This window comes from Homo sapiens, chromosome 10 (assembly GCF_000001405.40).
Source record: "Homo sapiens chromosome 10, GRCh38.p14 Primary Assembly".
Lineage (NCBI taxonomy): Eukaryota > Metazoa > Chordata > Mammalia > Primates > Hominidae > Homo > Homo sapiens.
Window position 1 is genome coordinate 119,454,412 of NC_000010.11, and position 14,772 is coordinate 119,469,183.

The 14,772-nt window shown below is 52.1% G+C and overlaps 1 protein-coding gene across 1 annotated transcript in view, besides 3 other annotated features; it reads left to right on the forward strand.

The window, feature by feature from the left end:
* GRK5 (G protein-coupled receptor kinase 5) overlaps positions 1-5,334 on the forward strand; it is a 252,175-nt gene extending 246,841 nt beyond the window's left edge. The window contains exon 16 of the mRNA NM_005308.3: positions 558-5,334. Within this exon, the coding sequence (NP_005299.1) occupies positions 558-656 (99 nt within the window). The 3' untranslated portion in view covers positions 657-5,334. The remainder of the gene's footprint in view (positions 1-557) is intronic.
* Positions 100-621: an enhancer, noted in NCBI's record as "H3K4me1 hESC enhancer chr10:121214023-121214544 (GRCh37/hg19 assembly coordinates)". NCBI's record gives its function as "activates a minimal SCP1, AML or CMV promoter by ChIP-STARR-seq in primed H9 embryonic stem cells {active_cell/tissue: H9 hESC(primed)}" and the evidence as "EXISTENCE:reporter gene assay evidence [ECO:0000049][PMID:30033119]".
* Positions 7,801-8,050: an enhancer, noted in NCBI's record as "active region_4119". NCBI's record gives its function as "activates an Ori minimal core promoter by ATAC-STARR-seq in GM12878 lymphoblastoid cells {active_cell/tissue: GM12878}" and the evidence as "EXISTENCE:reporter gene assay evidence [ECO:0000049][PMID:35858748]".
* Positions 11,373-11,873: an enhancer, noted in NCBI's record as "H3K4me1 hESC enhancer chr10:121225296-121225796 (GRCh37/hg19 assembly coordinates)". NCBI's record gives its function as "activates a minimal SCP1, AML or CMV promoter by ChIP-STARR-seq in primed H9 embryonic stem cells {active_cell/tissue: H9 hESC(primed)}" and the evidence as "EXISTENCE:reporter gene assay evidence [ECO:0000049][PMID:30033119]".

Consider the following 14,772-nt stretch of genomic DNA (forward strand, 5'->3'; position numbering starts at 1 on the left):
CACCTGTGAAGCAAACGCTTCTTGCCTCCCTCCTCCTCCCCTCTGCAACATGAAGGGCCCAGCACTCACGGGATGCAGAGGGAAGGCCTGAGCAATGGGAACGACCGCCCATCTCTCCCAGGCCGGCCCTCGCTAGAGCCCTTTGCATATGAGGCCCCATTGTATCCTCCCAGCCACCCTGTGCGGAAGCTGCTCTTCTCCCGTGTTACAGGAGAGGAAACTGGGAGATGGAATTGCATGCCCAAGGCCACTCTGCGAGGGAGGGGAAGACTGAGAATTCCAGCCCAGGCAGCGTAACCCCATGCCTGCAGGCTTAACCAAGGTGGATATTATAGGAGGGGCCGCCTCCACCCTGATTGGAGGTTCTGTTAATTCCATAGCTCTTCCCAGGTACCTGTGCCTCCAGGGGTGGCCCTTGTACCTGGCTCTGAGGGGAGACTGCAAAAGGCAATAAAAAGCAAGGGTTGGAGCAGGCAGAGGCAGCCCCGACCCATCCCCAGGGCTCCCAGGACTGACTTCTGTTCTCTCCACCCCGTCTCCCCCAACCCCAACCCCAGCATCAGAACAATTCCAAGAGTTCGCCCAGCTCCAAGACCAGTTTTAACCACCACATAAACTCAAACCATGTCAGCTCGAACTCCACCGGAAGCAGCTAGTTTCGGCTCTGGCCTCCAAGTCCACAGTGGAACCAGCCCAGACCCTTCTCCTTAGAAGTGGAAGTAGTGGAGCCCCTGCTCTGGTGGGGCTGCCAGGGGAGACCCCGGGAGCCGGGGAAGGAGGCCGTCCATCCCGTCGACGTAGAACCTCGAGGTTTCTCAAAGAAATTTCCACTCAGGTCTGTTTTCCGAGGCGGCCCCGGCCGGGGTGGATTGGATTTGTCTTTGGTGAACATTGCAATAGAAATCCAATTGGATACGACAACTTGCACGTATTTTAATAGCGTCATAACTAGAACTGAATTTTGTCTTTATGATTTTTAAAGAAAAGTTTTGTAAATTTCTCTACTGTCTCAGTTTACATTTTGTATATTTGTATTTAAATGAAAGTGAGACTTTGAGGGTGTATATTTTCTGTGCAGCCACTGTTAAGCCATGTGTTCCAAGGCATTTTAGCGGGGAGGGGGTTATCAAAAAAAAAAAAATGTGACTCAAGACTTCCAGAGCCTCAAATGAGAAAATGTCTTTATTAAATGTAGAAAGTGATCCATACTTCACCTTTGAAGGATTGGTTGTATTTACCCACATCTATCTCTGGAGCCATTTCCTCACATTGGTGTCACCCTTCTGTCGGCTTGGAACAATCTGAATTAAATGTTCCAGACACACGTGGGACTTCCCCCTCCCAGCCAGAATGTCCTCTCCTGGGGCCCTCGGAGTCGCCTAGGCTGAGCCCTTCTCCTCGAGGGGCACGCCGAGCCACTGTCGCACCCACCTCTGTCTGCTCTTCCTTCAGGAAGGCGGCTGGCACGCGGATCTAGGTGTTTGCAGCCTGGTGGGCGATGGGCCTCTTTCCTTCTAAGCAGGTCCTGACTGCTAAAGCCAGTCATTTGCAAGAGGTTTGCATTGGGGGATTTTTGCTCTATTTTTAACAGAAGCATAGGACCGTAAAGATGTGTCATGAAACCCCAAGTGTCCCAAAGCCTCGGGGCCCACAGGAGCATCGGGAAGTGAGGCAGTGCGCTCATCCTGACGGAGCAGCGTCGTGTCTGTAGCGGGGAGGGAGGCTGGCCCAGGGGCCCGGCATGTTCCTGAAGCGTTCACAGGGTTTTGAGACCTTCACAGCCCCATCAATGTGCTGGCCCATGTGGCATGGATGGGGTAGTCTCTCTGGGCAAATGAGAGGCCCAAGGAGAGACCAAGCCACCAAAGGGCTCAAGACAAAGTCACTGTTCCTTCCCCAGGAAGGTGGGGCAGAGGCAAGATCTATCGGACATTTCAAAGTTTCAGGCAGGAGCTCCTAGAGGACTTGGTGGCTTTGCCAGCCCAGGGGCCTCTGAAGGCAGCCCCCAGACCCTTGTAGCAGGGCTGTCCATCCCCAGGGAGCAGCTGGCCACCTCCTCCTGCCTCGAAGAAGTGACCAGGGGCCAATCTGCTCCCACCTCCCGTCCAGGACAGGGTGAACATTTGACCTCACTGTCCCCTGCCCGGCTGAGTCCCTGATGTCTGACTGTGCCACCCAGCAGCTGCCAGGGTCTCTCACCATGTGGACCCTGCCCTAGCTGCAGCTGCACCTCCTGTCAAAAGTGCAGACTCGCAGGTTCCACCCCAAACCACAGAATGGGAATGCCTGGGAGCCCACCCCTGCTGTGGGCTCTCAGCGGGGCTTTGGGGGTGATCATCCCAAACACATTTCTCTGGATGACGCAGGCAGCATTGGAGCATGAGCCGTGGGGAGGACAGTCGTGAGCACACCAGCTGTGAGGCCCGGTTTCCATGCCTAACCCCCGGACTCTACCCCTGGGTCCTGGGGCGTACCGCTAAAAGGGTCCTGGCCTTTGGGACTGATCATTTTGAGGCCCTTTTACAAAGAAATGGGGGAGAAGAAATAGCTGGGCTTCCCTCAAATCTTTTTAATGTGCAGTATTTTTTTGTTCAAGACCAGCTCTTGTTTTATGAGGCTCCTTCCATTACCTTTCTTGGGCTGAATGCAAAACAAATACAGCCACATTCAAGTCTTCCAAGGAAGTAGAAAACTCTTTGAATGGTATCTTAAGATCCTTAAGCTCTTGCTGAACTTCCTTTTTCAATGAAAAGAAGGACCATCATCCTAGGATGGTCACCAGCCCAAGCCACCACCCCAGCCACCCATCCAGGAGGTTGGTTCCTTTTGCCCAGTTCATAGCAGCTCAGTCCTTACCAGATGGATTCTTGGTGTTGGGAAGCAGCCTCTTTTTATTCCTGAAAGGCAATGCCCTGTCCGTTTGCAGTAGAGAATCCCCAGGGAGCAAGAAAGATGACAGAAGTGTGGCTGCCGTGTTTCTAGGTCATGAGAGCTCTGGCGATACTACCACAAGGCCTGCACGTGGACTCTATGATAACTTGAGTCTTCCATCATGTTTGCCACCAGCCCTCCCTGAGTGCCCAGAGGAGATGGGGGCAGAGTCACTTGGCCTACTAAAGCCTCCTGTTCCTTCTGGCTCATGCATTGCTTTGTGGTAAGAGAAAGGAAGTCTTTAGAACAGCGCCTGGGAATCAGCCCTTCTCCCTACTGAGTCCCCAGTCCTGTCCCTTCCCTGACTCGCTCCTCCTCCAACCTTGGTTTCTATAGCTGCATTTTTTTTTTTTTTTTTTTTTGAGACAAGATCTCATTGTGTTCCCCAGGCTGAAGTGCAGTGGCATGATTCTGGCTCACTGCAGCCTCAAACTCCTGAGTCCAAGCTATCCTCCTGCCTCAGCCTCCGAGGTAGCTGGGACCATAGGCGTGCACCACCATACTCAGCTAATTTTTAAAATTTTTTGTAGAGATGGGGGGGGGGTCTCCCCATGTTGCCCAGGCTGGCCTCGAATTCCTGAGCCCAAGCTATCCTCCTGCCTCAGCCTCCCAAAGTGCTGAGGTTATAGGTGTGAGCCACTGTCCCTGGCCTATACGGTCATTTTTTAAAAGATATTTTAAAATTAAAAGCAAACAACACTGTCCACCCATCTACCTGTCCAGGATAAGGCATATTTGGACGGTGAACGGATTTACTCTCGTTCATGCATTTGAGCGCTTCACAGAAGAGTCTTTCTTGCTCCAGGCATGACATTTTTTTTCACCAGACGTTCACTGACTTCGTGACTTTGAGGTGAGACATGGGATCTCTCAGAAGCGTCTCTGCATCTGCATTTCAGGAGATGAGCTGCTGTCCCTGGTGGACAGAGGCGGTCTCTGCCATGGTCACCATGATGCCCTACAAGTGTTTATTGAGTCCCCTGGGGGGCACCCAGAATACCACCCAAAATAGCAAGAAGACCCGGTCCCCGCCTTGCGGACGATGCACTCACATGCCACAGCAACCCATTCTCGCCTCTTCCTTGGCCGGGAACCCGGGGCTCTAGGGCTGCTCGCTGCTGCTGTGGCCTGCGCAGCCACGGGAGGCTTCCTGAAAGGCATTGCTCGGAGGGGCGGGGGCGGGGAGGCCTAGCCTGCCCCACAGACACAGCTGTGAGGCCTGGGTCATACACATACCAGCAAGCAGCTGCCGAGACAAATGGTGGTGGGAAGTCCTGGGAACACACACAGCCTTTGCATTGACAGCACAAGTAGGATCAGAGCCCAGGTGAGCCCCTGAGGATACCGAGGCCTTCCCTCCCTGAGGCCCGCAAGTCTCCATGCGTCTCCCGGGAGCCTGGCCCCGCTGCAGAAATCCCTTCTCTTCCTCCACACCCTGTCCTTTCCCCAAAGGCTCGTGTTATCAGTTCCAGCTACCCATCGACTTTCCCACCGAGCCGCTGCCCTCAAAACGGAGGGGGCACCGCAGCCTCCTTGAGCCTGGCATCCCAGGCCTTGCCAAAGGGGACGGTGGCTTCCTGGATAATTGGAAATCTCTGAGAAGAAGAGGAAACACCTGAGTGACACTCAGCTGTCCTCTGGGGTCCCCTGGTGTGCATGCACGTCCTCCTGAATACCTGTACTTCCAAGAGGTGGTCTCCTGTTTTCATAACCCAACACTCTGAGATAGGATCTTCCAACTTTTTAGCCCCGGCTGTGGAAAGATAGTGAGTATGAAGTCTTTGTGCATTTGGAAGTGACATCGCTGTGTGGATTATGAATACAGAGAGCTGCCATCTTCCTGATCACAATAGACCACGATTGCAAAGCCTCCTCTCCCAGAGACCCCTTCTGCGCCTGCCCTCCCCACCCACCACCCAGCTGTTGAAGCTCAGCGTGTGCAAGTCAGACCCTGCACAGGCCGGGGGTGTCTCACCTGGCCTAAACGTAAAGGCTTGTGCCGGAGACAGTGATTGAAAACATTTGAAAAGCCAGCTCTCCCTGGCAGAGAAAGACACTTCCCCCCCAAAGTGGAATTTAGATGTCTTTCCCTAGTCCATCAAGAAGTCATTTTTGTAACAGTCCCTAAGCGAGTGTTCTCAATTAGAAGAGTTTAGTGGCTTTTGGTGTTGTTAAAATAATAAGAATCCTTCTAGCATCCAAAGCTTTCTAATTTTTTTCAGGGAGATTTGGACATTAATGAATGGAAACTTCCACAGTGGCGGTCACTCCTGAAGGCAGCGGCTTCTGTTCTCCCGCTGCTGTAACTCTGTGTGTTCCGTCTATCGCGTCACAGTGCCGCTGGATCTAGATGGAGCCACTGTTGTTGTTTTTAAAAGAGAAATAAATTCCTTAATGGAAGTAGCATGGCATCGGCATCTCTCTCCTGCTGCTGAGCTCTTGTTCTGTTTCTTCTGCATACGACAGCTGTCCCCAAGATGCCTGTGGCCTTTGGGCTAACCCTTTCCTAAGGTTGACAGTGGAACCCACCCAAACCCGGCCCCCACACTGACCACCCCCTGAACTGCCCACAGATGGCCCAGCTCCAGTGGGCGGGGCCCAAGAAAACCTGAATTCTTACCAGGCCGCCGGCTTCTGATCTCAAACCCAGCAGATGGTTCTAGAAGTGCTCTGGCCACTTGGCACCAAGGAGGAGCTGGGTGACAAGGGCTCGAGCCAGTGCCAGCACCATGACACCAAACGGCGCATTTGCAGGTCCCACCTGCCCGGTCTTATACAGAAGAGGCGGGCTCTGCAGAGGGAGCCTTTCTGGCTGTCCAGGCTTCGCCATGCCAGGCACATGCTGGAACGTGGGGTAGCCAGTGAGGCACAGCGGCCCTTGCACCTCAGAACTGGGATTCCCGATCTGGGACCCAAGACCTCTTCTGTCTCCCTCGACCTGCTTGCCTTAGCTGTTAGAATGAGCAGGGCTTACTCTGAGATGTTTGTTTTAAAAATAAAGGTAAAAATAAATTTTAAAAATAAATAAATAAATAGAATGAGCAGGGCTGGGACTCAGCCAACACCCTATTGATGATATATGACCTTAAACAGGCCACTCTGAGCCTCGGTGTCTTCATCTGTAAATGAGATCACACCTCAGTGATGTGGCTGCTGGAGGATTCAGTGGGAACTCATGGGCCACCCAGCACAGAGGCCTTGGCTTTGAGCAGGGGCCTGGCCTTGACCTCACACCCATTCACACCCAGCCCTGCCTGGAGCCACACTCCAGCCAGGCCTGGAGCCTGGGGAAGAATCTGCTTACTGGGGGACCCTGTGGAATTGGACAGAGAGAAAGAGGGGCCGGCTGGCAATGAGGGTGGGATGAGGAAGGGGCTCTCCCAGGATGGAAGAATGGGGGTACTCATGGCCGAGGATTTGCCGACCAGGCGGGTAGCCCTCAAGGGCAGAAGATGCAGGGGTGGGGCAGGAAATGCTCTGATCTCAGAACAGGGATGGGGAGGACCTCCCCGCAGGGCCCAGCTCTGTCTCTGGGGCTTTCACCACTCCAGAAACTCCACTGTCCGAGCCAGCCTCCAGGCAGACAGAAGCTGCCGTCTCTCCTGGGACAGGTAGGGTATCAGTGGGAGAAACTCCAGCCCCACAGCTCCGGCCCCCCTCACCATTTACACTGCCCTGCCCAGCAGCTTTGGCCCCTTCCCAGGCAGATGGGCTGGGCTGGGCAGGAGGAGTACCCACCTCTTACCTCCTCCACACCTTTCAGGCCTGTGCCCGTCCTGTCCACACCAGACAACCGTGGATTTGGTGAGGGGACCAAAAGAGCCTCCATCTAACTCATTTTCAGGAAAGGCTCAAAGCCAGCATCCCTGGGCCCCAGAGAGCTCCAGGCCACAACCCCTGTGGGAGGCAGTCCTTAAAGCTGTTAGGATCCACCTGCCATATCCAGAGACCGTGAAGAGGAGGGAGAGCTGGGGCCCTGGGAACAGACCCTTGAGCCACAGCATGGCAGGGCTCCTGGTACCACTTTGCCCAGCAGTTTGCCAAGCCAAACATTGCCCAGGCCTGGGCCAGTTGTCATGGGGCCTTGGCTTGGCTATCTTGGGGGAGAGAGCAGGAAAAGCCCATTCAGCAGGCCATGGGGTGAGATCTAGAGTTTGCACTCTAGGGGCATCAACTACTGGCAGGTAAACCACAAGGCGCAGAAGGCTTGGGTCAGCACCTCTCATGCTTCAGGAGTTCTGACTCATTTGGAATCTTGATAAACTAGAATCTGATTCAGTGGGTGTGGGGTAGGGCACAGCCCGTGCTTCTGAGTGCTCCTGGGCGAAGCCACTGGTCCTCAGACAACACTTTGAGCAGAGAGGCCTTAGAAAGCCCCAAACCTGGCTGGGCACCATTTCTCACACCTAATCCCAGCACTTTGGGAGACTTAGGTGGGTGGATCACCTGAGGTCAGGAGTTTGGGACAAGCCTGGCCAACATAGTGGAATCCCAACTCTACTAAAACTATAAAAATTAGCTGGGTGTGGTGACATGCACCTGTAATCCCAGCTACTTGGGAAGCTGAGGCAGGAGAATCCCTTGAACCCTGGAGGTGGAGATTGCAGTGAGCTGAGATTGTGCCACTGCATTCCAGCCTGGGTGACAGAGTGAGACTCTGTCCCAAAAAAAAAAAAAGAAAGAAAGAAAGCCCCAAACCGGAATGGCAGGCTGGGTCTATAGTCAAACCAGGTCCTGTATTCTATGGTACAGAAGTTTTATTAATACTCACCAACATTTGCCCTGCCCTTGAGGGGAACTGATACCAGTAGTTTTCAAAGTCTGACACCCTCACCACTACAGGCTGCAGCAGCAGCCCTGTGAACTTCTGAGAGATCCAGGTTCCTGCTCCCCGTGCCAAGCCTATTGAGTTAGGAGTCTGGGTGGGACCTATGAACAGGACCCCCAGGTGACTGGGGTGCACACTCCAGTTTGAGGCCCACTGGTTTACAAAGCGCTTTCATCTCATTGAGGACGCTTAGGGCAAAGCAGCCACTGATCTTCCTGCCGATGGCTTTTCAGAGTCACAGAGGGCTGAAGAGAGTGAGGCTCTTACCTGCAAATGGAAGCAGGTGGGTACAATTGGCTACCACTGTTCTTAAACAAAAGGAAAGAGGATACGACATAGAATCCTACTGTCATATTTTTAATGAAAAGATAAACCAAAAAAAGGAAAAAAGTTACCTACAGGGAGAGGGAAGCCACCAGGGGAGGAGAGTGAGAGACAGATATAAAAGCCAGTCTGCTCAGAAATGTGCCTTGTCTTGTAGATTTGACTTTGCAAGCACACGTCAAATAAAACACAAATCCAGACTCAGTGGGGAGAGAACTATTTGAAAGATTTTTGCAAGGGAGGAAAGGGGCTACTGCAACAGGGGCTGGGATGGAGAGCACTGCAAAACGCAGAAGGCTTGACCATGCCATCTGCAAGGGTCTTGAGGGTTAGGCGAAAAGATGATCTCTTTTGTAGAAAGAACAAGGCTAGAAAGAGCCAGGTGTGGAAAGTGGGATGAAAGGGTGATGTGATTAGATAAATAGATCAGAAAATGTCACCCTGAGGCAGCCTCTGCTCTGGAGGGGCTGCCTGCAGGCTCAGGCTGAGTTGGTCAAAGTTCAGAGTCCAGGAAGAAGGAGTGAAACTTACCCAAGTCTGGCTAGCAAGCATTTTGTTTCCATGGATCAGTGGGAACAGGCCGTTCAGCTAATCATTTATGAGGCAAAGAATGGGAATTTGGAGGGTCTGTGTCTGGCCTTTCATAGATAAATAAGGGGGACATCCCTCGGCCTTATGGAAGTCTGATGTGGTTGTCTGTGTCCCCACCCAAATCTCGAATTGTAATTCCCATAATTCCCACATGTTGTGGGAGGGACCCAGTGGGAGGTAATTGAATCATGGGGGCGGGTCTTCCCCATGCTGTTCTAGTGATAGTGAATAAGTCTCATGAGATCTGTTGGTTTTATAAAGGGGAGTTCTGCTGCACACACTCTCTCTTGCCTGCCACCATGTAAGATGTGCCTTTGCTCCTCCTTGCCTTCCACCATGGTTGTGAGGCCTCCCCAGCTATGTGGAACTGTGAGTCTATTGAACCTCTTTCCTTTACAAATTACCCAGTCTCAGGTATGTCTTTATTAGCAATGTGAGAACAGACTAATACAAAGTCATATGGGGAAAGGTGGTTTTTTGCAGCATGTTGTTTTCCTGGAAAACAAAAATGTGAGGAGAATCTCTCGTTTTGGCTTTTTGTTGTTGTTTTGTTTTGTTTTATGAGACAGGGTCTTACTCTGTCACCCAGGCTGGAGTGCAGTGGTGCAATCATAGCTCACTGCAGCCTCTGACTCCTGGGCTCAAGCAATCTTTCCACTTCAGCCTCCAGAGTAGCTGGGATTACAGGTATGTGCAACCACACCCGGCTAACTTTTTTAAATTTTTTGCAGAACTGGGATCTCATTATGTTACCCAGCCTGGTCTTGAACTCCTGGCCTCCAGGGATCCTCCTGCCTCGGTCTCCCAAAGTGCTGAGATTACAGATTGAGCCACTGCACCTGGCAGGGGGAATTCCTTTAATCTTCACTGTTTTCCAGGAGCACCGGGCTCAAGTAAAATTCACTATTGTCATATGTAATATATGTTTTTGATAATTGTAAAACAAAACTAAAAATTTTTTATAGCAGCCCCTATAAACCAGAAGACAAATGGAAGAAACAAATCTGTTCATATGCAGGTGGTGGCATAATCACACAGAGACCATCCCCAAGTGACTTTAAGGCACAGAAATGTGACTGTAGGTTCCCAAAGAGGGGCATGCCCTAAAGACAAAAAGAGTTGCCAAAAAAATCTTAAGCCATTTTCACTAAACATATTGTCAGTAATAACGTGGATGTTATTATTCCTCAACTAATGTATATTATAGGGCAAAACATCTAATTCTGTTAATGTAATTAAGAGCAAAGATTTTTCAATGTAAGAAAAAATAAAAAAATAAAATAATATCAAAGAAGAAAAGCCTTTTAATCCAACCCAAAATAAGCTTTCTCTTTATAAAATAGGCATCCATGAGAACTTTGGCTCCTTGAGACAACACCATTGACTCCCCGTGAGTGTTCAGGACTTTTTCCTGGCCACGGGAGATGGAGGAGTACTGGACTTTGATGACGGGGAGGTTCCTTCCAGTTCCAACATTCTGCCAGACTTATGCAGCTCGTTCTATCTTTGCCTCCCACTTTACCTCCCTTTTATTTTCTCTTTGATATAAGGATTGCCATTTCAGCCGGGCATGGTGGCTCACACCTGTAATCCCAGCACTTTGGGAGACCGAGGCAGGCGGATCATGAGGTCAGGAGTTCGAGACCAGCTTCACCAACATGGTGAAACCCCGTCTCTACTAAAAATACAAAAATTAGCAGGGTGTGACGGTGTACACCTGTCGCGCCTGTAATCCCAGTTACTCAGGAGGCTGAGGCAGGAGAATCTCTTGAACCCGGGAGGCAGAGGTTGCAGTGAGCCGAGATGGCACTGCTGCACTCCAGCCTGGGCGACAGAACAAGACTCCGTCACAAAAAAAATAAAATAAAATAATTGCCATTTCTAAAAATAATAATAATAAATGAAGGGATGAATGAAGGGTGAAAAATATCGGGGGTACCATTTACATTGTACTGTAGTACTCCTTGGAGTTATGCTATTCAGATGTTCTAGGATGGATGGATGGTTGAATGGACGGGTAGAAGCAAGGAATGAAGGAGGGAAGGAATGTAGGAGACGAAGGAATGTAGGAGGCGAAGGAAAGAAGGAAGGGAAGGGAACGGAAGGAGGAAGGAAGGGAGGGAGGGAAGGAAGGAAAAGGAAAGGAAGATCCATGAGTATGAATGAATAGATGGTTAGATGGAAGGAAGCAAGGATGGGTAGGTGGTAGATGGGTGGATGGGTAAAAAGGTGGGTAGGTGGGTAGATGGATTGGATGAGTGGATAGAAGGAAGGAAAGGTGGGGGGTGGATGGATGGATAGATGAATGGATGGATGGATGGTTAAATGGATGGAAGGAAGGGTGGGTGGGTGGTGGATGGATGGATGGGTGGGTGGATGGATGGATGGATATATAAAAAGATGAGTAGGTAGGTAGATGGATGGATGTGTGGATGGATAGAGGAATAGATGGATGAATGGATGGCTCAATGGACAGATGGATAGAAGAAAGGAAAAGTGGATGACAGTTGGATGGGTGGCCATGGTCCTATGAACAAGTTACGCTCTATATACAGACCCAGTGGAGGATACACTTCTGCAAAGGAGCACCTGTGCAAAGCAGACCTTCCCCAGAGAATGTCCAAACCTTTGCCTGGTATCTTGTATTTATGCAGGTGGCACTTGGCCCAGCAGAATCAGGTATGGAGGGTGGTTATTTAACCAAGGTCTACAGCTCTTGATATGGCAGCCCCTGACCTTCAAGCACTTCTGTGTGGCAGTGCCCAATGCAATGATGTGGGACAGAGCGCACATTCTGAACTCTATATAGAAGGGTTGGGTCAATGCTGGTCACCATAGTGACGCCATTTCTGCTCTTAAGGATCTGGTAAAGACACTCGGGATGGAACAGGGTTTCACTACTCCTTCTGGATAACTACAGTGAGTCAGGGAGTAAGAGAGAAGTATTAGAATTAAGTCTGAAGTCCCCTCAGGGCACCAGAGAACCCTGGCAGGAGATTTTGTCCCCAGCCCTCGGCAGAAAGGAGAGGAGCTTAGTGCTCAACTCCCCACAGAGACTCACCTGCACACCTGTATGCCGTCCAGACCTGGCTCAGGGGAGGGGATGCTGTCAGGAGAAGGTTCCAGCCAGGTGACCCCATGACCTAGCTGCCAGCTCTGCTCCCGCCACCACTTGTGGACTCCCCAAGGCAGCGGCTGGCTCTCCACCCAGCTCCAGACACAGACTGGTCCCTGAGCGAGAATCCGTTTCTGTGAAGGAGAAAGCGTTAAGTGGGCCACGCCCTCACCCCTTCCTCTCAGCCTGGGCATCCCGAGGCTCCCACAAGCTCACTGCAGGCGTGCACTTGAGGCCAGTGTGTTTTCCTGGGAGCAAACCTCCTCCTTCCTGTGAGGTCCTTCAGGGCACTGAGAAGTCCCACCCAGTCTCATGGGGACCCACTCGGGATGTTTTTTGCTTTTTCTAAGAGAAGCCAAATGTCTCCTTTAATGGAGAACTACCATAAAAAACTTCTCTTAAAAATGCTTGCTTTTTCTGAGTTATCAGAATTAACCCAGAAAGAGGTCACAAACGGGTTAGGTCCATTAGCCACTCAGAGTAACTAAGTAATTTGCAAGAGAACTAACAGCCTGGGTGTCCTCAGTGTTCCTGGGCCAGGCCAGCTTCCCCGGCAGGCAGAGGTGCACTGTCATCAGGAGGCATGAGCGGTTTGCTGCTGGGTCACGCCCTGTGGTCTGCTTGTTGGGGAAACCACCCACCCCGACATCCACCCTGCCCAGCAAGCCTGGCGGTGGCCATGGTCCTGCCAGCGGGTGCTGCCCCTCTTTGCTCACATGTGACTCACAGCTCCCATAACACAGTAAGAGCTTCCCAAGGCACAGCCAGGGCACCAAGCTAGGTATGGGCTGCAAGCATTTCCTTTTGCAATTAATAAACAAGAACTAGCACTTATAAACAGTCACCATCTACCCAAGTCTCACTATCTTCACAAACAACGCTCCATAAACTGAGGCTCTGAGGGGCTCTGTGTCTTATCCAAGTTGACTAAGCAAATGAGAGGCTGAAACTCACAGTTGTCTCCAGAGTCCCTGCTCTTTCTTCTCTGCATTGCCAGCTTCCTTTCTTCCGCTGGGAGAACAGCCATCAACCCAGCCGGCATCCCCAGCTCTCTGGGCCTTACAGTGGGTGGAATGTTCCTTCTGTAAAATAGGGAGCCAGGGGGCAGCTGGACCGACCTGGGTTCAGGTTTTTTTGTTTTATTTATTTATTTGTTTTTGAGACGGAGTTTCGCTCTTGTCGCCAAGGCTGGAGTGCAATGGAGCGATCTTGGCTCACTGCAATCTCCACCTCCTAGGTTCAAGTGATTCTCCTGCCTCAGTCTCCCAAGTAGCTGGGATTACAGGTGCCTCCCACCATGCCCGGCTAATTTTTGTGTTTTCAATAGAGATGGGGTTTTGCCATGTTGGTCAGGCTGGTCTCAAACTCCTGACCTCAAGTGATCCACCTGTCTCGGCCTCCCAAAGTGCTGGGATTACAGGCCTCAGCCACCGCGCCCAGCCTGGGCTCCCAATTTTAACTGAGCATCAGACTCAGCTAAGCCTTACCTTCTCCAGGTGTGCTCTTCAGACCAGCAGCCTCTCCTGGGGGACTTGTCAGGTGGTGGACCCTCAGGCCCTGCTGAGACCTTCTGAATCAGGATCTGCCATTTAACCAGATCCTGCCCCAAAGCACATTCAACATTTAGATTCTCAGACTCTACCCTAGGGAGTTCAAGGTGGCCCAGAAACCAACCACACTCCCAAGGCAGCCCAGAAACCGACCAGCAACAGGGGCTTTGGTTGAAACTTCCCTACGCGGCCCAGAAACCGACCAGCAACGGGGGCTTTGGGTGAAACTTCCCTAGGCGGCCCAGAAACCGACTAGCAGCGGGGCCTTTGGCTGAAACTTTCCTGCTGGACGCCATCGTCCTGGGCTCCTTGGGGAAAGCCCAGGGATGGGTGGCTAGAGTTCCAGTTGTTACTACATGGTGCCTGGATTGGGAGGAGAGTGGCTTCTTTGCCTCTGCTTGGATGGGCCTACTCTCAGCTTTATGGAGTATTCTTTGGAAGTTGTAGGCGACCATTCTCCTGCCATTGAGATCTCTGTCAGGCGGGTTGCTCCCTGCCCTGCCGTCAGTCCTCGAGCGGTTCTGTCTTCACCGAGTCTCTTCATCGTGAGTGCAATGAGCTTCAGAGAAAAGGAAACGTATTGGACTTTCACTTGGAACTCTAGGGCAGGGAGTGGCCTCGCAGGCTGGTGAGAACTGACCGGCCCTCTTTCTCATCTCTCTTGGGTCCACGGCGGTGGATAGGCCTCTTGAGTTTCTCCATCGTCCTGCATCTGGGAATGGCTTTCCCTGCTTCCCAGCACACACGATGGCCCCTCATCTCCCCCCCCACCCCCAGCTCCCAAGTTCACATCCTCTGGCCCAATCTGGGAAGGTGCCCCTCAAACCACCATGGAGTCAGCCATGGCCAGCAGAGCAGGGTAGGCTGGGCACTCACACTGGGACAGCAGGCACATCTTAGGAGAGTGAGGGGGCTGCACACAGATGGGGAAGCCACAAAGACTCCCGGGATAGCAGGGACGAGGGGGGCCCCCAACTTACCTCAGTCAGAGGCAGGCAGAGAACGGCAGATCTGACTACTCCCTGCCTTCCCCACACACCCTCGCAGGGGAGGCAGGCCAGCTAGTACGCCCATGTGTGGGCTGAGTAAACAAGACACAGACACGGTCCCAAGACCACTGGCTTGTACATGGCAAAATTCAGCCCTGGTACCCAAGGCAGAGCCTGGAAGGGAGTAAGAGAGGAGGGACCAGAGCGAGGGAGGAGGGACCAGAGCGAGGGAGGAGGGAACAGAGCTAGGGGGGAGGGAACAGAGCAAGGGGGGAGGGACCAGAGCGAGGGGGGAGGGACCAGAGCGAGGGGGGAGGGAACAGAGCGAGGGAGGAGGGAACAGAGTAAGGGAGGAGGGATGGACCGGCTGGGGGAGCACAGGGTGTGCTTCATGGTTTCAAGCCAGGGCCCAGGTTCTCAACCCTGCTGCTCACCACAGTCACC